Here is a 21,217-nt window from a genome sequence, read left to right as displayed (position 1 = left end):
GGAAACTGGAATGATGACTCCATCTAATTCGGCCATGCTGGATGATTCACCTGGATTCTCTCATGTCCTGAGCATTGAAAACATAATGAAGAGTTTTTAAATTGAATGTTTAAAAGAGTGAAAACAACTCCATCCCTTTTTCTGTTTCCTTTTACCTTGTATTTATGTACCACCAGGTACCTTGCTCTTGGCAGTGAGCGTGAATGAATGGCACAGCTCAGCCCCTGAAGCCTGTGTGCAGAGATTGAGGGATTGTGATGGAGTAGTTCATTCATGCTCATGTTAAGGGGGGTGCTAATAGCAGACTAGTGCTCCTGCGATTATTAATATCTAGGTCTGGGACAGATTGTGATGGCTTCTTTTCCAGTTGCCACCTCAGCAGAAAGGGAAATAGAAAACCCTAACTTGTAAAGTTAGACAATTAGACTGTAAAGTTTGTATATGTGACAACTTCAGATACAAAGACACACACTTACCCTTGACGGGGCTTAAGAGGAGAGTGTCAAACATAATACCAAAGTGAAAGAAGATAGCTCTTCATCTACAAATTATTTTTAAACACATTTACCAGGTTAAACAATAACTAATTTTTCGGAAGAGAAGAGTACCCAAAGTCAAATGCCCTAAGACGAAGAGATGCTTATGGCATTTTTTTTTAAATAAAGAAAATGCAAAGTTAGAGTGGTTCTGAAGGAACCTAGGATGAATAAGGTACAGACATGATTATTCTAATGGTGCAGACAGGATTGAGAGAGAAGGGGGGAGGGGAGAGATGGAGAAAGGCATGGATGGAAGATGACGTTTGGATTCAGATTTTGGAAAGGAGAGTAAAGGAAGGAGGTAAGCAGAGATTTATTTTTTAAATTTTATTAATGTGTTTTCCCCTCTTTTTCTTGTTATTTTTCTCATCTGTCTGTTCATACTTGGATATTTTGTCCAATAAACTATCTTCTAAGGACTCTGAAAATGCACTGAATATTTTTGGAGGGTTTACTGGGTGCCAGACGCCACTTTAGGAGTTTTACATATCCTCTCCATTTCATTTAGTTCTCTTAGCACAGAGAAGTGGGAGAAGATAGTCCCATTTTACAGGTGGGATGAAGAGAGAGATGGAGGAATTTGCCCCAGGTTACTCAGCTAGAAGGTGGTGAAGAACTCAAGCCTTCGGATATCAGCGCCTGGCATTTAACTACCAATCGGTCCTGCTGGGACTCCGGCTCCTCTGGCACCATCCCCGGGACCTACTCAGAGAGTTTGCACGTGGCCGGTCGCGTTCCATCGTCTAACAAGGTCCAGCACAGCGCAAATCCGAAGATCGTCTACCCCGGGGAAAAAGAGAGTCTGTTTAATTCTCCTGTGGCCCTCCAAGTGAGTTCTTTTGGGTTCCATTGCCTAGACGAGGAAAGTGAGGCTTTGCCTGCTCTGCGCTCACAGGGTCGGCAAGTAGTGGGACCCTAGGTTCCTGCAGTATTCCAGAGATAATCAAAGCTGCACAGGTCTCGTCATTTTTATGCAAAGGCGTCCGGAAGGCTCGAACTCTCCCTTGCACAAGCCCATCTGTCTCTGTGCGCCGCCCCCGGGACACGGAAGCAGGCGGCGAGCAGCGCCGAGTGGGTGGAGAACCGTCCCCCGCCACTCACCCCTCGGCCAACTCTCCGCGCCTTCTCAGCCGGCACCCACGAGGCCGACCTCTCTCGGCCTAAAAAAAAAAAAAAAAAATCCCGGCCTCCCCTGCACCCCGCCCGCCGCCCCCAGGGAGCTGCATTAATATTAATCTCGCTGAATAATTGAAGGCCAGAGATTTATTCGAGCTTCGGCGGGGGAGGGAGCGCAGCTGGGCCGCGTTTAGGCTGCACCACCCGCGTGTTTCAGCCGCTCGACTCCGCTGGACCTGGGACCCCCAGACGTGGGAGGATGGGGTGGGTGTGCCTGCCTGTGAGTTTGGGGGTGAGTGTGAGCTGAAGCGGGTGCTCCGGGGAGTGAGGAGGGAGCGCCAGGGGCTGCTCCAGGGAGGCGGAGACGGAGGGGCATCCCGGGTCTCCGCGCGGTCGCCTGCGCTTCACCCCGCACGGGGTGACCTGGGGCCACGCGGGCTTCAGGGGAAACAATAGCTACTCCTTAGATCCTGGGCTCCTGCCACCGGCTGCCCAAGCCTTCCCGGACGAGCGGCGGGGCCTCTTTTCTTATTTGGCTAATTTATGGCGAGAGGCTGGGGGGAGGGATGGCAGAGGAGGGACCGCGACTGGAGATGGGGGCGGGGGGCGGCGGTTAAAGGAGTTGCCCGAGGCGGCGGCGCGGGTGATGTCAGCTCTCGACGAAAATAGAGAGGGATCGCCTGCAAATCCCCAGCTCCGGCGGGGCTAAACCTTGCAATCCCTCCCTGGCCGGCGCCGAGCCAGAGCGCAGCGGCCTCCACCGCCTCCCCAGGCGCGCACACACCCGCACACGCGCACGCACGCTCACCGTCCTCTGCCACCACTCTCTGCTCCCGCCACTCGCCGCGCCCGCGAGCCCCGCAGCAAAGCACAGGTGGCAGCGGCTGCAGGGGCGCATCGCCGGCGTGCGCCCTCCTGCAGCCCTGGGCGCATCGCTCTCTCGGGGAAGCCACCCTCGGAGCCCCCGGAGCTCCCCGCCAAGCGCCATCCCCGCGGGCGGAGGGGAGCGCGGGTCGCGCGCCGTGGAGAGCCGGGACGCGGATTAGCGCCCGCAGGAGCCTCCTGCGCCCGTTGAGGCGCTAAAGGGCTTACCCCGGAGGCGGGTGGAAGGGCGGGCAGAGGCTCCTCTTAAATACCGCTCCCGGCCGCACTTCGCGCTCACCCCGGCGTCCGCTTTCTCCCTCGCCCACAGCTGCCGGATAGTGCTGAAGAGGAGGGGGCGTTCCCCAGACCATGGCATCTACGGAAGGGTGAGGGGATTTTTATCTGTACCCGCGGGAAAGCGGGGTCACGCGCGGGGTGGTGGCGCCCCTATCCGGGATGCGGATAGAGAGGCGGCGGCGGCGGGCCTCGGAGGTGGTGGCGGAGCCGTAGCTTGGCTGGGGATGGGATGGTGGGGAGGGGATTGATTTTCTTTCCTGGAGATTGCTGCTTAATCCTTTGAAAATGCGAGAGGTGGAGGGTTGTTTTATTTTGATAAAAAGGGTAAGGTGCGCTGGGGGCCTGAGAGTGTGAGGAAGAAATCCTCTTGAGGTTACTTTTGGGATTTCAAAACAATAGGGGATTGGGCATAGTGTGAGCAGACACCGGGGTAGCAGCGCCTGGAGCGCGGCGCCCCAGGCCCGAGGCGGGCTTGCAGGTGGTGCCGGCTCGGAAGGAATGAGCCAAGACAGGGCCCTGGGGCGGGGCAAGGACCAGCGCGCGCGGCCTTGAACGCCAGGTTTGCAGAGTCGCCATGGAGATGCTGGGCCCGCTCCGATCGGTCCTTGTCCCTGGAAGGCGGAATCTCCCTGGCTAGCTCTAAGGAAGGGTGGAAGAGATTTGGGTGCTTCCCGGGAGGCGGGAAAACGTGTGGTTTGGGACAAGGGCAGGAGTCGCCAGACTCCAGCGGGCAGGGATAGCATTGGCTTCCCTATTCAGCCCGAGGATCTGGAGTCGTGTCCTGCCTCCCAAGATTCCAGCTGGCATGGGGAAAGCTCCCTCGCAGTGATAACTAAAGACAATTGTCTTTAGCAAGAGACAGAAGGGGCTGCAGGGGGCAAAAGGATTCTTTGAATACTCACACATCAAAGGAAAGGTCCACAGAGTCCTTGGACCAGTATCTCCCAGAAAACTTTTTGGGCTTCGTAGAACCTGAGTGGCAATGAAAAGACTGGGCAGCTCAGCCCTTTGGTTAATTCCCAAAATTGCAGTTACTCACTTGCAAGCGATCACAAAATCCATGTTATGTGAAAAGCAAATATCAGGGGCTTCTCTGGGCTCAAGTGGTGGTGTTGGCATTTTCCAGTTTCTCCTAAGAAATTTTACCAACTCCGCAGGCTTGTTTTAGGGGAATGGATCTCTAAACAGGCTGAAGAGCTGGTATCCAAAGCCAGATCTCTAGACTGCAATCTCCAATAGAAGGAAAATATTTCTAGAACTGTCTCTCTGTCCAGGAGAAGGAATTCATTCATTTTCTGTCCCCCAGAGTCCTTCCAAAGGCATCTGGCATCTTGTCATTGCATGAAATTTTGTCTCTCCCTTTGCCCTATTTTGCAGTTTAGACTTTTTTGATTATTATTTCTCCAAAAAGATGTTTCAGGAAGACACCTGTGTACAAGGAGGGTGGTACCTTGTGCTAAAACAGATCTCTAGAAATAGATACTAGGAGCCCATATGGATCAAGATCAGTGTCTTACCATGTTTAGTTAAAAAGGCTTTTATATTAGAAAAGATATGAAAGAATTTCTGGTTGCCTTCATGGACCTTCTAGACTTATCCTTGCTTGTAAAGGCTAGGGTGGAAAACATCTGTGAAAAAGATGGATGATATTAGTCTTCCAAATCCTGCATCCAGCTCACTCCCTATTTTGATGGCCAGATAGAGAAGGAGAGGTTACAACAACAACCCCAAACTAAGTAAGTTTATTTCACCTTTGTCCTAAATGAAAGCTGTCAAATGATGTGACATTCAATGTAGAGCCAAAGTGATTTTCGGCATTTTAGAAAGATTCCCATCCAATTAATCCCATCTTTCTGCACTGTTTATGGTTAAGAAAAGATTCATCAGAGGAACTTATATTTAAGAGAAGAAAGAATTGAAAAAAGTTGAACGGCTGGGAAACAAATATAGGATCTATGACCCATTATTATTTAACAGCAGTAACTGATGAGCAGGTGACATTCTCAGAAGCCCTGGTCTTTCCTTTCTTCTTCTCTTCTTTTCTTGCAGGAGCATTTACTGAGCACTTGTTGAGTGGAACTCACATGTGAGGAACTCCGAGTTGGGGGGATACAGAAATAGTCTGGGATTTGCCTTTTAGAAGTCTAGCTCCATCCAGTCAAGGATTTTTATTAGTAAATTGTTCACGTGGACTCATGAGATCTCTTGCAACTTCTAACATCTTTGGTTAATGTGCCTTGTAAAGAAAAATTTACTAAGACTCCTCAGGCTGTCTCCTTTGTTAGCTTTTGCCCTCTAACAATATTGAAATTGTTTCCTTGAAACATACATTACTGAGAAGGAAGCAAAAATAGCAATATAGTTATATGCTTTCAATTTATATATTTTCAGTTCAACTTTGTTTGATCCAGAATGTTTGGGGAATAGGATAATATGGGAAACTGACCATTCTGGTTCACATTTATTTGGTGATGTAATTATCAGCCGCAGAACATGTTAATTACCAATTTCTAAAGAATTATTAGAAGCAATAATGACATCTTATGTTTGTTTAACACTTCACTTTCAAAGCTCATTCGTGTACCTCATCACATTTGATTCTTCCAGTAACTCTGTGAAGTAGGCAGTCCAACAAAAATAGACTTTAAGGATAAAATTATATATAGGGAATACCATCTTTTCAGAAAGATTCCAAGACTTGGCAAAGCTTTGGGGTTATCATCTGAAAATGATGTGTGCTGGGCATGGCTGGTGCAGATTACTGGCTTTCTCTCAAACTTTTGGCATACCTATCCTGCAAATTGCCTTTTAGGATATTCTCTTTGTAACCTGTGCATTGATCTTTGCCTGTACAGAGCATATGCCACCACAGTCTGGTTTTTTGAGGGCTTTGATTATTTGGAATTGAGATTATTAGCATCCAGTTTCTATAAAAATCAATAGTGGACTCTTTGGTAGTTCCCAGGCTCTGAGAGGTATTTTCCTGCAAAGCAAGGTCTAATTTAATAGTTGAGCATTCTTTTTTCTGAGTCCCCTGTCATGGCTAGAATTACGGAGATGGCTTTTAGGTCCCTGACCCAAATTGGAAAGAGATTATAAGTAGTTGGTGGCAGCCAGGCTAGTGTCCATTACTGACTGGGTCACAGTGGAGTGTCCAGATGCTGAAGAGGCAGGCATTTTAGAAATATCTTCTTGGAGGTGGGGGGTGGCTAGGTCACTCTGTATGTCAGAGACCCACGGCAATCTGTCTTCTGATCAGCTCCCAGGAGCCAAGGGTCAGGGGAAAGCCAGCCATGAGGGCTTGGGCTTCAGTTTGACTTAAAGAGCAAGGGAAACAGAAAACTGCTGACAGTGGAAAAACCCTGGCAAGGGAGACCCCTTGAATTTATTATTTCAAGCAAATAAAAGCAAACCATAACCATTGTCCTCTTGCTTCTCCCCTTGGGAATGAATTTGAGGTCAGCAGGAGGAAGACCCTACAGCGTGGACTTATTGGAAAGTGAGTGAAGGATGTGGGGCTTATGGTCTAGAGGGGTTTGCAGGTTGCATGCCTCAGGCTTGGCTGGAATTTTCATTTCTCATTTTCAATAATATAGAAATCAGCCTCCTTGGGGAAAATAGATATTAGTAGAGCTATGAGAAAACCATTTCATGTTTACTAAGACAGTCGCTTGTGAGTAATTGAAAGCTTAATTCTCAGGAAATAATTTCTAAATCCAGATGAAACTTGTGAGGCAGAAACTCCATGTTATTAAAAACCAAAAGACAAATCTGTTCATCAGTATCAATGGCCACTTCTTTTCCTCTTCCATGCAACACAATTAGGTGTTTTGTGTCTCCTTTGGCTTTGGCTTTAAAGGATGTGTCAGACAAGGAAAAGTCCTTAAGTGATGATGCTTCAGCTGCAAAAAACGAGCAATATATTTAACAGCTAAGTGTGAGATTTCTGGGTCAGTGTGCCATAAATCCTACAGTTCCAGAATTGCAAAGCTTTTTCATGATTTGAAGCTCAACACAGAGTGATTTCAATGTAAATCCTCCCCTCCCTGCCCTCCTCCATGGCTGTGTCACACAATGCCCTGATGTCTGGTTTCCCCCCTTTTAAAGGCAAACTGAATTGTTTCTCATATTGAATTTTTCTCCCATTGGACTGGCTTGCCTCTTGGCATGAGCTGAAACTATTCTTCATTTCAGTCGCCTGCTACAATTATTTTAATCTACTAAAACACTGATAGTATTAAATCTTCTAGGAATAGTAGGCAGAAGCATTATTCTGAAGATAAAATTTTAGTTTTGCTTGCATTTAAAGAACTTGTCTTCGCAGTCTGAAGAAACATCTAACAAACACCAGACACTGCCTTGCTTGCAGCTTTTGATTTCATGCCCTTAACAGCTTGTTGGGGGCCAGGCAGGATGCTTCATAGAAAGGGTTTTAGAATCCAGATTATGGCAAATCTCTTTATTTACCACGATCATGAGCTTGCTCTCTCCTCCCTCTGCCCGCCCCTCACCCCGCAACTCTCCAAGTGCCAACTCCTTGGAACGAATTAATTAAAGGAATGTTTAAAAATATCTCTTTGCTCCATCTTCAAGTGCTCCATCATTGACTGGAGGCAGATGGGCCACATATTTGTCGGTAGAATAGAAAAGGACTAGCATCTCATTATAAATCTGTCTGGTTGGCTTTAAATGATGTCAGAAAAGACAATGGGCCCGCAGTATTAAAGGAGAATGAAAGGAAGATCTTTAAAATTTTAAAAAGAAGACCCATTTTCTTAGTGCTCTGGTTTTTCTTTTAAAAAGTATTGTTTCTCAATGGTGTTGATATTTATTTATTTTTCATTCATGTATTTAATGTCTCACTTAGATAAACAGATATGACCACTGTTGGCTGAACTGCTGTTTGGTGTTTTTGGCAATCTCGACAGTTGCTTTAGAATATGGACTCACTGAGCAAGAATTGTCCTTTGAAAATGGAATGAAGGGAATGAACTCGATTTGATGGCTAGACTTGATCTGTGTCAATCCTGGTCTCTAGGATAGATGATGGCAATGTTAAAGACCTTGAATGATGTTTGGGGTCAAGGAGGGAGATGCTGTCCCCATGCCCCCCTCTATTTTAGAGGCTTCACTTAAATCACTGAGAGTACTTTCTTCTCTTACGTTTGGTCAGGAGGGCCATCTGTCACTTGCTGTTTGTAATCTGGCACAGGACTTTCTGTCATGTGGTTCTGCCATCCCAAGTTCCCAGCCACTGTGCTGTCAGGATCACAGAGCTGGTGACGAAGTTGGAAGTGAATCTGAGACCTGTCTGCCTCCCGCTTTGCCTTTTTCCCAGCACTGGACATGAGGTACTGGGTGCCTGTGGACTGTATGTGGCCCATGGGTATATTCTTATAGGCTCACAGAGGATTTTGAACATGTTTTAATTGTTCACCTATACTTACTTTTACCTTAAAAAAAATCCTGATTCTGGCTTCTCTTAAAAATTGGGAGATCTGATGACAAAGAACCTTCCCTTTTATCTTGGTACCATTTATTGAGTGATTATATCCCAGTTGGCTTTAAACAGTTTAATGTGTATCAATTTATTTAATCCCCACAACAATATGATGCAGCAGGAGTGACTCTTAGCCTCATTTTACAGGTATAGAAACTGAGGCACAGAAAGAGTAGGTGAATTGCCCAAGATTTTACAGCCAGTGAGTGGCAAAGCTAGGCTTTCAAACCAAGCATCCTGGCTCTGGGATCCATGCCTGTAGTTACTAGGCCATACCTCTTAGTCCAGCAGGGCAGGGGTTAACTGGGGCTGAGGAATGGCCATCTCCTGAGATAGGGCATATGCCTTTCAGGTTGGGCACAGTCTGTTCTGAGACTACTTTTCTCATGTTACCTGCCTGACCCCTTACCTTTCCAAGGAAGTTATTGAGAGATTGAAAGCGTGCGTACCATTCTCTTGGTATACACCATTGCCTAGTGGTTTTGGATTTGAAGAATTATTCAAAATCTCATTTCTATGTAAAAAAAAAGATCTTTCAAGCTACCTTTCCCCCCACCCCCCAAAGCACTTCTTGTTATTTTCTTTAACTTTGGTCTGGGTTGTACATAATGGAGAGGTCTTTTGTAATTATTGGTTTGGTAGTCAGGAAGCCAATAGCGTTGTCTGGTCTAGAGGCAGTGCTTTGAAAGAGCCCAGGGCATGACCACATGGGTCCCAACCTTTGGGATATTGAATTGAGCCTTGGGTATGTGCTTTGTAGTGGCAAATGTAGCTGAGCTTATAGCAGGCCCTGGAATTTATGTTTTCTTTTGCAGCCTTCAGGTGTGGCTGTTTAGGGTTGCGACTTAACTTACGCTCTTTACTGAAACAGCGACTGGTCTTGTCCCTCTAGGAGTGGGGCTGATATTTATTTCATAGCAGATGCAAACAGTGATGAGCTAAGGATGCCTTTTGAATTGAGGAAGAAATCTTTCAGAGGCGTATTTCTGTGTTTTAAAGAGTGGGACAGTTTGCTCATCACCCAACAGATGGCAGTAAATGTCAGCACTTTGTCCACACTGGTGGTCTGACTCCCTTTGGAAGCCCTTCAATCCTTAGGGAATCCCAATTCCCATGGCATTTCATTCTCTTTTGATTATAAAAGCTTTCTCCACCAAGTATAGAATTTGGTAAGAGTGAGGCAATTGACATATATCTACAGTGTTCCATATCACCATAAACAAATATAAATAGGATCAGCCAAGCTTATGTGGCTATATATATATGACTTCATTTCATCCTTGAAAATCCCCTAGGGAATATTATCTCATTTTAGAGATGAAAAAACTGGAACTTAGAGAAGTTTTGATTTTATGCTGTTACTGAGTTTTTAGGTTTTTTTTGTCATCTAATTGTACTGTGTTTTGTATTATCCATATTTTGCAATTAATCCACATTTCCTTAAAATTTCATGGATCCTTCCTTTGCTTTTTATTTTTGTTTTGTTTTTTTTTTTTGCTCCAGTAAGTGTCTTCAATAATTTCATTCAAAGAAAGCAAGATAACCTAGTGTCTCTGAAGAAAAAATAATGTAAGAATCTTAAATTCTTAAAGAATCTTAAAGAATTTAAGAGGCAATGCCTTAAGAAGGACAGCAACTATTACAGAAAGAAGTTATTCTTTGAGTGGAGATGTGCCATTCAAAAGAAAATGTCACCATAAAAAAGTGAGAATAAGTTTAGTTAATTGAAAATGATTGTCAAACCTATTTGTAGATGTCAAACAAGATAATTTCAAATGGAAGAAGTAGTAGTACATGAAGGGAGATAGGTAAAAGAAAACAGAGAAAAGAAGAAAATCATTCTTCTCTCTTAGATATCATGGAAAGCTAACTGCTGCAGATTGTGTTTAATCTCAATCTTTACTTAAAAGGACAGTTGGGCTGGGCATAGTGGTGTGCACCTGTAGTCCTAGCTATTCGGGAGGCTGAGGCGAGAGGATCTCTTGAGCGTGGGAGTTGGGGGCTGCAGTGAGCTAGCTATAACAATGCCTGTGAATAACCACTGCACTCCAACCTGGGCAACATAGCAAGATCCTGTCTCTAAAAAAATTAATTAAGAAAGAACAGTTGGAATCTGATAGATTTCTTAGGAAAGTGGATGGACATCAACATGAACAAAACCCAATTAAACAAACTTGTTCAAGAGTGAAATGGATGGTTATCAACCAACAACACACATCTCAGACATTCTAAAGTGGCTGATGGTACCTGGGGAATTGGTTCAGCTATCATTTTTTCTATTTATATGCAACATATGGTCTAGAAAAGGTGTGAAGAATAAATATTGGGCTAATTTCTAAGAATAGATTAGAGAGTAATGGAATTATAGACTGAATCTATTTTCCCAGGATTTTTCTGGAACTCAATCCCATCAATCAGCAGATATTTATAAAATCATCATAGAATCTTAGCATTTGAAGGATTATTGATTTTTAGGTCATAATTAATTGCTAACATTTCAAATGTAGAACTCATTATCTATTAGTCTGAGAGCATTGAACTTTAGATTCTTTTCACAGGTATTGATACACTGGGGTTGAGGTGTCATTGGTTGGTCCCAGGAAGCAGATTCTGAGATGGAGACTTGTGTGCATGGAATTTATTGGGAGGAGCTTTCAGCGTAAATCCTTATGAAGGAATGAGGGAAGCCAGGGTAGGCAGAGGGAGAGGTTGAAACAGTCGCACCAAAGCCTGCCCACCCACAAGGAGCTCTGGAACAGGGATGGCCCTTCAGAATGATCCTGAATTGAGGAAAGAGATTTGGCCTTTCTACTCCTGCATTAACCAGCCATTGAATGGGGCTGTGCTGGAACGGGACATGGCCCTCGGTACAGGGCAAGGCTTGGGGTTGGGGGGAATATAGTTAAGAGCTGTCACTTATCAACATGCCCAGCAGCTGGGCAAATGAATCATTCAGTCCTGAATGTGGGGGGAAAGGGATCTGGGTAGCATGTCACAGCATCCACCACTGTTTCCAAATTCAAATGTTAGAAAGATAATAAAATAATGAGTCTGGTTGCTTGTGATCAGAATATCCAGGCGTCCACAAAGCTATCATCTGTAATAAAATGCTATACCTTGCTGGTCAAGTGATACAAAATTTCAGGTAGTCAGGAGGAATAACATTAAGTGATCTATTGTTCAGCATGGTGACTATAGTTGACAGCAATTGACTGTGTACTTGAAAATTGGGAGAACAGTAGATTTTAAGTATTCTCACCACCAAAAAATGATAAGTATGTAAAATAATGGATACATTAATTAGCTTGATTTATTTTATTCCACAGTGTATGTGTATATCAAAGCATCATGTTGTATACCACAAATACATACTATTTTTTTTGTTAGAAATAAATAAGGAACTAAATAAAGCTCTATCTTAAAAAATAAAAACCTCAAATATTACAAAATGGCATACAGTAAAAAAGTAAAAGACTATCTCCGGCCCCAATCCTGTTCTCCAGAAATAGTCATTTTTTTTTGTCTGCCCTTTAAGACAGGGAAAGTGGATTCTGATGGGCAGGCTGGGGAGAATTCAAGGTCATCATCTTCCTTAGGTTTATTTATTTGTTTATTTATTTATTTGTTTTTGAGACAGAGCCTTGCTCTGTCACTTAGGCTGGAGTGCAGTGGCATGATCTCGGCTCACTGCAGCTTCCACCTCCTGGGTTCCAGTGATTCTCCTGCCTCAGCCTCTTGAGTAGCTGGGTTTACAGGTACGCACCACGATGCCTGGCTAATTTTTGTATTTTTAGTAGAGATAGGATTTCACCATATTGGCCAGGCTGGTCTTGAACTCCTGACCTCAGGTAATCCATCCGCCTAGGCCTCCCAAAGTGCTGAGATTATAGGCGTGAACCACCATGCCTAGCCATCTTCCTCAGCTTTAGCTGTGTCTCACATAGTCACCAAGTACATAAGAGAGAAGCCCTTCTCTTCATTCCAGTCCTTCCAAGGGTGCCATGTCCAATGGAAAGATGGTTATCTGAAAGTCCTGCTATAGAGAGAGAAATTAGTTACATTAATCTAATTTCTATCTAGAGTGGTGAGTATAATGGAAGGGGTCAGAAGGAATAATAAATAAATATATTGGGAACAAGAGTATAGCTATTATTGACATTTTCAGTGTTGACAGCAGCCATTTTCACACTCCTGCAAGTGTTATTTCCCATGGAGTCCTTACCTGGGGAAAAGTGAACAATGAATTAGGTAAATCCTTTCTGGAATATCCACTGCATTGTTCTGTTGATTCAAGAAGTCAGGTAGTCTGTCAACTTCAAGCCAAAGGTACGTATATGTTGACATTTCTCTGTTCTATTCCACTGGCAAATATTAAGATATGTTCAGAGGTGAAAGAACACTTTTGTACACACAACCCAAGGTCTTGCAAATTATATCTTCGTGAGTGTTTTCCCTTATTTTCTTGCATCAGTTGACTCTGCTTTCTGAGACCAAGACATTGATTATCATTGTGTTTGTGTTTTTATCAGCACAACAAATTAATTCCAGTGACTCAATTGTAGAGCAACAGAAGGTAGAGCAAGCCAACCAAATCTCATTGGAAATTGCCTTGCTTTTCTTTCCTTACCTGTTTTTAATAGTTACAAATCTGTTATTTACCATGGCAGATCGATATTATGCATATTTCCAGTTTATGGGTAAAGATGTCACTGATTACATTCAATCTACATTTAGGAAATACATTTTTGCACATAGAATGTAACAGCCAAATAAAAGAGTGTGAATGATTCACTATTCACTGTCAGATAAATTATTTTTAACAAAAACTTTTACCCTTTTGTCCTCTGGACCAGTGGCTCCTTCCCCATCACACAAAAACATGGCTTTATTAACAATAAAAGCAAAACCCTTAAATATACCCGGCATACCTGAAACTGGGAATAAAAAGAGGTTTAATTGGACTTACAGTTCCACATGGCTGAGGAGGCCTCCGATTCATGGCGAGAGGTGAAAGGCATTTCTTACATGGCGGCAGCAAGAGAAAAATGATGAAGAAGCAAAAGTGGAAACCCCTGATAAACCCATCAGATCTTGTGAGACTTATTCACTACCACGAGAATACCATGGGAAAGACTGGCCCCATGATTCAATTACCTCCCTCTGGGTCCCTCCCACAGCACATGGGAATTCTGGGAGATACAATTCAAGTTGAGATTTGGGTGGGGACACAGCCAAACCATATCAAGGGGGATGAGGCACTGAGACTAGTTAGAAGATGGCAGCAATAGTTTAGGTGGGAGATTATGACCTGAATTAAGGTATAGAAATGAGCATAGGTTACCAGATTCCAAGGATATTTAGAAGGACTTGGTGACCAAGTGCAAGTAGGTGTGAGCAGGTGGAAGGGCTTAAAGCCATCTCTCAGCCTTCTAGATTAAGCAAATGGGGGCGAGGTAAGTGCAGAAAAAGGAATTCAGGAGAGAAATTAAATTTGAAGAAGACAGTGAATTTGGTTCAGCATACTGGCTTAGCATTTGTGGCGAGTGGAATATCAGTAGAGATGTTCACTGGGCAGTTAGAGTCATGACAGGCCGGGGCCTTTATGGAGTGCTATTTGTATTACAGATGTAAGGGAGCTCACCCGCACACAGCATGAAGCTAGAGAAAAGAACTGGGCTAAGAGAAGCATCCTGGGAAGCTCTAGTATCTGAAGATGGGCAGAGGGAGGTGATTCACGGGGTGCGGGGTGCAGGGTGCTGAGAAGTAAGGAAGGGAGTCAAGAGTGAGCAGGTGACTTGAAGTGGCCGACAGTGCTGCATGCTATGGAGAGGTCAAATCGTGGAAGGACTGAAAAGTACTCATTGGATTAGTCAATTTCAAGGCCATCATTGGCCTTTGCCAGAGCTGGGTCAGCAAAGTGATGGCAGCTGTTGCCATGTTGGTGTGGGTTGAGAATGGGTGGAGAGAAAATGAATGCAAATTATTTTTTTCCATAAATGGTAGTCAAGAGGTAGATGGTACTAGGAAAGCAGATAAGGCAAGAGCAGGATTATATGTTGGGTTGTTTTAGTTTTAGGCCAGGTGTGCTATAAGCCTGTTCATCTGCTAAGGGAAGGGCTTGATTAATGAAGAGGAGGTCTTGAATTATCCGTGGAAGATACTGATGAAGGAAAGAGTTAGAACCTGAGGCTAATTCATTGCTCACTTTGGGGGTTCCTGCAGGAAGAGCAGGGTGCCTCTGTGAGACTGATCCCACAGTATAGGGGAGCACTACTCAGAAGGGACAGGGAGGAAATGGCTGCCTGCCTAGATGGTCAAGTCCACATGATCAACCCTGGTCATCTGTAGAGTGACAGATGGGGCAGCCAGCTTGTCCTTACTTCTATAGCCTCATTAGTCAGCAAGCTAGAGTTGGATGTATTTTAGTAGTGCTTGCTGTTTTTTTTTTTTTTAAGATTTACCTTTTAAGTCCTTTCTAAGTCTCCCTAGTTGGAATTCTTCTCTTTCTTCCCTTAACCCTTCATCATTTATGCTCTTGCATAGTTTGTGAAAATTTTATTGGACCCAGTTTTAATCCCAATCTCCTCTTGGGCTCTGCATTCCCTTTAAATCACTTCCTGGATATTTGCATAGCACATGTATCCTGATAACTCCCAAATGTATGTTTCTATTTCAGGCCTTTTTTCTAGGTTCTAGATTCATATATCCTACAACCTAACTGATGTCTCCATTTGTGCAATGCATAGATGTCTGGAAATTATCATAGTACAATGGAACTCTTGATTTTTTTTTCCCTACAAACTCATCTGTACCCACTCCCAAGTTTCCCCATCTCAGTAAATTCTATCTGTTTAGAGATTCAAAGCCAGAAATGTTGGTATTAACCCTGCCTTTTTTTTCTTCCTTCAGCCTCAACCTACAAGCTTACTAATTTCTACCTCAGTTCCTCAGATATCCCATGGTCTTGCCCACATTTGCATTCTCTTTTCCAGAACCACTTTCTACCCTACCACCATTCCACAGATGACTGGCACCCTCTGATCCTGGAGCATGCTTTGGTCCTCAGCTTGAATAATATTTCCCAGAGAGGCCTTCTCTTCCCATTCCACCTAAAATAGGTCTCTCTTTCCTAGTCCTACCTCATTCCCCTTGTTTGCTTCCTTCACTGCATCAATTACAACTTTTACATATTTTATTTATCTGTCTGTTTGTATCTACAAAGTAAGCACTTTGAAGACTAGTTCATCATCATGTCCTCCTAGATCCTAATGCAGTGCACTCAGTAAGCATTTGTTGGCTGAATTCTCATCCTTGTCAGCCTGGAGAAGGAGGGAAGGCTTCTCAGAAGAGGTGATGTTTGAGTTGTGCCTCTTCCAGGGAGTCTGTCCTTATTACACTTTGTTCAGACCTCTCTCATAGCAACTCATCATAACAGAGTGTGCTAAGTGTTTTCTTGTCTGTCTGTTCACTATCCTGGTATCTCTCTGAGGATCAGGGTTACATTAATTTCTTTGTGCCTCATCTTATTATCATTATCACGATGAATGTTAGTATAATTGAATTGTCTACCTCGCAAAAGAGATATGCAAGGGCATAGAGACGACAGAAGGGAACAGGTGTGGGAGGCAACAGATCCAAGGTTGAGAAAACATTTCCTTTTGCTTGTTGGGTCATGGTCATCTTGGTAAGGTTCTGGTGGTCAATTGAACATCCCCATTCCTGCCTACCAGTCAATAATTACCCTTTGCTAGGGGTTAATAGGGTTCAAGGAGGTTACAAGAATAATCAGTTGGGAAGCAGCTCATCTTGTGAAGCCAAAAATGTATTTGTCACAGTCATTCATGTCCCCATGCAGCTGTCTGGGAAAATTACAAACTCCTGTATCTGCAGTTCTTTTAAAATGCAATGAAATTTCATCAGAAAAGAATCTTTGAGCCCATCCTCTGTCTTTCCCAGGATGCCTGCCTCCTCTCAGAATCATGTCTGTCTATTCCTTTCCATTGTTCTTTGTAAAGGAAAACAAGGAGAAGCTAGAATGAATTTGATATTCAGATACAAAGAAGGAATTTCTTAAGTCAAAGCAGATTTTTCAATTACATTAGTTAAAAAAAAAAAAAAAATCCAGGGCTTGAAAACTGATTTAGAAAAAGAAAAGTTACCAGAAGCAGACAACGTTGTTGTTAAATTGATCTTTTAACTATTAAAGAGACACTTAGTATGTTTAATCAGTCTCAATAGAGTTCCCTTACTCTGGTTTTGTATGGGTCTAGAAATAATACCTTGTAGTTGGTATGTGTGTTTTCCAGCAACCTAAATAAAAATGTTAGCTATTCTTATATTTCCTGAAATGGAGTTCTTTTCTGGAGTTTTCTGGTGACTGGACATGTTGGGAGATATTTATTGCATCCTGGTGGGATAAGAGAAGAAAAACCATGGCTGGCATCTTCTTTCTTGACTCTGCGAGTCCTCACAGTGCGAGTCCTGTGATTGGATGAAAGATCAGTTTATAAAATCCCCTTCCTGAGCCTTATGGGAAAGTCTTCAGCTGAAGCTATCCTCATCATCCTTATGGAAAATGCTAGAATCCTCCTAGATTCAGAGCCAGGGCACTCAAACTGCTGTTTTTGAAGTGAAAGTAGAGTCAAAGCCGAGATGCTGGGTTTTCTCGTCTGCTCTGACAGGGAAGCCATTGTTAGTTGCGAGAACCAAGCATATACAGATTTCATTTTTACTTTATTTGCTTTCTCTCTCCCTCTGAAGACTGTCAATGGGGTTCAAGGCAAGTAAACTCTAGATCTCAACACAAAATTCACACGTGATTGTCCAGTGGTCAGACAGACCGGGAACAATTTGCCCAGCAGGGAGCACTGTGGAGCCACACCTCTGAACCATGGTGATTTTCCTGCTGCTTTGAAGGAAGAGCGAGAGGGCAAATTACCTCTTTCCCAGGCCCCGCACCAGCTGTTGTCTTGGTTTCCAAGAAGGGAAGCCCAACCACTTTGTTTACATTCCAAGTGACCTGGAGTAACAACCGGGGACCAGCTCTCTGGAGGCCAAGGCTACACCTGGGACAACTGGCTGAGGTTGAAAGTGAGTTGACAGCAGTTGCCATTCACCAGCGGGTCCTGGGTCCTCGTCCTCATCCTTGTCTTTGTCCTCTTGGCTTCCCCTGGGAGTCATCAGCGGGGTTCGAACAAGATTTGCTGGTTCCGGAGCTTGGGTATGTTCAGCCTGGTTTTTTCTGGGTTATTGAAAAATGTTTTAAGGTGAATGGGGCAACCCTGGGTTAGAAGGGAGGCCTTAAAAGCAGGAAGCCTAGACACTCAAGGGATTGAAAAAACATTTGGAAAGGGTTGGAAAGGCCCCAAAATCAACAACACAAGAATGGAGGCATGAAAACAGGTATTTCTTTTCAAAATGACTTACCAGCCACCCCCAAAGTCTAGCTTTTAACCCAATGGGAAGCAAGCAACAAAATTAAAATAGGTGTGAAAACGTTGTGTTTTTGGTAAAGGGCACACTGCCTTAGGAGGCGCCCGTGGAGGAGCAGAGACTGATCCACGTGTCCATATGTTTGCTTAGAGAGGACTTTCCCTCTTTGCCTTTGAGCTAAGCTGCTGAGCCAAGCCAGCAAGATGAAGATGTTCCCTTGCTTTTAGGGAACAGGAAAATCAGGATTCTGTCCAGCTGTGGCTCTAGTTTCTGGTTAGGGGGCATTAAATTAATCCTTGAGTTTCTCATGTCATAAGATCACAGGATATTTGTTGAATAAATAAATGCATGCAGCCGAAGAGCTCACTGGATGAGTTCTTTACCTCAAGAATTTCTGGTTTCTCCTTCAAGACAATCTTAGATTATTTGGGCATAAACATAGGAACCCTGGGAAGCAGGACCTGCTTTATGGATATGCGACTTAGGCAGTCCACGGTTTAATGCTCTGCTCTTATCATCTTGAAATGTTTAATTTGAACAAGGGGTCTCAAGATTTCATTTTGCCCAAATTACGTGCAGACCCACACATTATGTAGCCAGTCCTACAGGGCAGCCACACATGTGCAGGCTTGCATGAAATCCTCTTACCAGTGACAGTGAACATGGTAAAGATGACAGATGACCTTGAGACAATCTGCCTTCTGGCAGTGCACTAGAATATTCTCATAAGGAGATACTTTCATAAAACAGCTTCTGAGCCAGTGTTGCACAGCAGTTAAGAAGACGTGTTTTATACTCAGAAAGACCTAGGCAAAAATTCCTGTTCCACCACTCAGTAGCTGTGTGACTTTGGGGAAGTTAATTAGCCTCTCTGAGACTCAGATTCTTTATCTTTTAAATAAGGACAATATCACCCACCTGATAGGGTTTTGGAATGGATGAAAGCAGGATGTGTGTGAAGCGTTCGGCATAGTGCCTGGGACCTGGAAGATACCTATAATGTTGATTGTCATTGTTCTTCTTGGAATAGCAGTACTGTGTTACTTTTAGTCTGTTGAGCTTAGATGGGGTTATCCATCAGTCTCTTGACTTTGCAAATTAGGCTGCTAACACTTGGTGCATACCCAAAGGTATGTTTGCTAATTCTTTTCCATAGAGCCACAGGTGATAAGATTAGAAAGTAGGCCCTGGGCTTCTTTGATCATTTGAGTGCTGTATTTGCTCTAGCGAAGGGTTGTTTGAAGATTTTTCTCTTATGTGCTTTTAATCCATAACTGTTTTTACTTCCAACACTTCTAACTCCAAATGCGTGGTGTCTTTCCCGACACCAGGCAGGTGTCCTGCAAGTCAGTTCAGTTCTGATGCTATCCACCTGGGCTATGGCTATCCTACAGATTGAGGGCTCAGTCCCATGAGGTTGCCTTCACTTCAGGTGTCAGTCACAAGTCCCAGGTTGTCTCTGGTACTTCTGACTGACAGGCTGTAATTTCTAATTTCAGGGGGTTTCCACAACACCCTCCTCAAGTTCAATAATTCCCTAGAGCAGCTTACAGAACACAAGGAAACATTTTACTGATATTTACCAGTTTATTATAAAGGATACAACTCAGAAACAGCCAAGTGAAAGAGATGCATAGGGCAAGGTATCAGGGAAGGGCTCGGAGCTTTCATGCCTCTCTGGGTGGGCCACCCTCCCAGCACCTGGATGTGTTCACCAACCTGAAGTTTTTCAGACCCCATTGTTCAGGGATTTTTATGGAGGGTACATTATTAGGTATGATTGATTAAATCATTGACCATTGGTGATTAACACAATCTCCAGCCCCTCTCCCCTCCCTGGAATTTGGTGGGTGGCACTGAAAGTTCTAATCCTTAGTCTTTCTGGTGAGCAGTCCCCATCCTGAAGCTATCTAGGGGCCCCCAGCCACTGGTCATCTCATTCGCACACCAAAGTCACCCAAAGGTTTTAGCTATGTGCCAGCAACTTGGGACAAAGACCAAATATTTATTTTTTATTGTATCACAACCCTCTAATATCAAAGTCTCCCCAAGCAACGAGTGCCTGACTTTCCACTCATTCATTCATTCATTCATTCACAAACTTTCTAAAAATATAACTGATTGTTTCAGGTGATGTTGGGTGGGGGCACAGGAAGTAAAAGATATTTCAAGCCTAGGACAGGCAGCCACTAGGCAGGAGCATCATAGAGGGCCCGAGCCTTGGAAGTAGGGGGTGGACTGGATGACTGTTGTTTCCTTTAACACTGAGGGTCTACCCCCACCAATATGGCGCTTTAAGGTTTCCAACACTTTAAAGCATCTGGAAGGCCAAGATGAGTTTGAGAAACATGTGACAGAATGTTACAATCAGCAGGTGAGTAGGTACGTGGATAAAGGGAATCCATGTGGTGTAGAAAAAAAATGCTCATCTCTGAAATAAAACATTAAAAAAATAGTATGCAGCTAGGACGTGTAAACCAAAAATAAAATTCTAAGCTCCCCAAGCAACGGAGTGGACCCCTCCTCTCACCCAAGGGCATTCTAAAGCAAACCTGAAACGCTGGTTTAGGCCATGATGAGGATGGGTGGTTGAACATTTCTCATTATACCCTCCTTCCTTTGGAATTCAGGTACAGCTGACTAGCATTAACATTAAAAGAGACCTTAAGACTGACAAAAAAGACTCTTTGTAGCAATAAGATATCAACATGACGGATAACAGGCCCTGAAAGAAATCAAAGTGTTTTACCCTCAAATATATTTTCAACATATTTTGAAATGCCCTGCAAAAGCTGTCTCTTGTGGGGAAAATCTCCCTTCTGTAGAAAATCCTGTTCCTTTTCCAGGTCTTTTTTTCTGATCCAGGAGAGAACTAAGAGTCTGACACATTTTTAAGTCTGATAAGAAACACTTACAGTCCATTCTCTCTGAAGCCTGCTACCTGGAGACTTAATCTGCATAATAAGGACCTTGGTCCCCACAACCCCTTATCTTAACCCAGACACTCCCTTCTATTGATTCCAGGTCTTTAAATAAACTTTTTCAACCAATTACCAATCAGAAAATCCTTGAACCTACCTATCACATAGAAGCCCCGCCCACCCACCTCCTTGCTTCCAGTTGTCCTGCCTTTTGGAACCAAACCGATGTGCATCTTACATGTATTGATTGATGTTTTATGTCTCCCCAAAATGTATAAAGTGTGTAAACAAACAAAGCCATAGCCCAACCCCCTTGGGCACATGTTCTCAGGATCTCCTGGGGTTATGTCACGGGCCATAGTCACTCGTATTTGGCTCAGAATAAATCTTTTCAAATATTTTACAGAGTTTGACACTTTTCACCAGTAAACACTAAAAGACTTCTATTTGATTATTTTTCAGGAGAATCAAGTAGTTAGACTTAAAAAAAAGTTATCCCTCTAGAAATTTTCATGGGATTGATTTTTCATGGATATACCTATAATATA

The 21,217-nt window shown here is 43.6% G+C and overlaps 1 protein-coding gene and 1 long non-coding RNA gene across 11 annotated transcripts in view, besides 1 other annotated feature; one reads left to right on the top strand and one right to left on the bottom strand.

The window, feature by feature from the left end:
- Window positions 853-2,798, bottom strand: SLC1A2-AS2 (SLC1A2 antisense RNA 2). The gene is made up of 2 exons (NR_186310.1): window positions 2,748-2,798; window positions 853-1,319 (listed from the first exon to the last, which is right to left on the bottom strand). It is a non-coding gene; the product is annotated as an SLC1A2 antisense RNA 2 (long non-coding RNA).
- SLC1A2 (solute carrier family 1 member 2) overlaps window positions 1,348-21,217 on the top strand; it is a 169,303-nt gene continuing 149,433 nt past the window's right edge. For 2 of the 10 annotated variants that reach the window (NM_001439342.1, NM_001195728.3), the window contains exon 1: window positions 1,797-1,919. In NM_001439342.1, coding sequence (NP_001426271.1) covers window positions 1,915-1,919 — 5 coding nt within the window. In that variant the 5' untranslated portion in view covers window positions 1,797-1,914. Of the gene's footprint in view, window positions 1,369-1,796; window positions 1,948-2,296; window positions 2,906-17,282; window positions 17,537-21,217 lie in introns of those variants that run through there. The other 8 variants (NM_001439341.1, NM_001252652.2, NM_001439343.1 and 5 more) reach the window with 6 other exon arrangements.
- Window positions 2,151-2,651: an enhancer, noted in NCBI's record as "H3K27ac hESC enhancer chr11:35440751-35441251 (GRCh37/hg19 assembly coordinates)". NCBI's record gives its function as "activates a minimal SCP1, AML or CMV promoter by ChIP-STARR-seq in primed H9 embryonic stem cells {active_cell/tissue: H9 hESC(primed)}" and the evidence as "EXISTENCE:reporter gene assay evidence [ECO:0000049][PMID:30033119]".

Source organism: Homo sapiens, chromosome 11, assembly GCF_000001405.40.
Source record: "Homo sapiens chromosome 11, GRCh38.p14 Primary Assembly".
NCBI lineage: Eukaryota > Metazoa > Chordata > Mammalia > Primates > Hominidae > Homo > Homo sapiens.
This window is presented reverse-complemented; position numbering and strand designations above follow the sequence as displayed.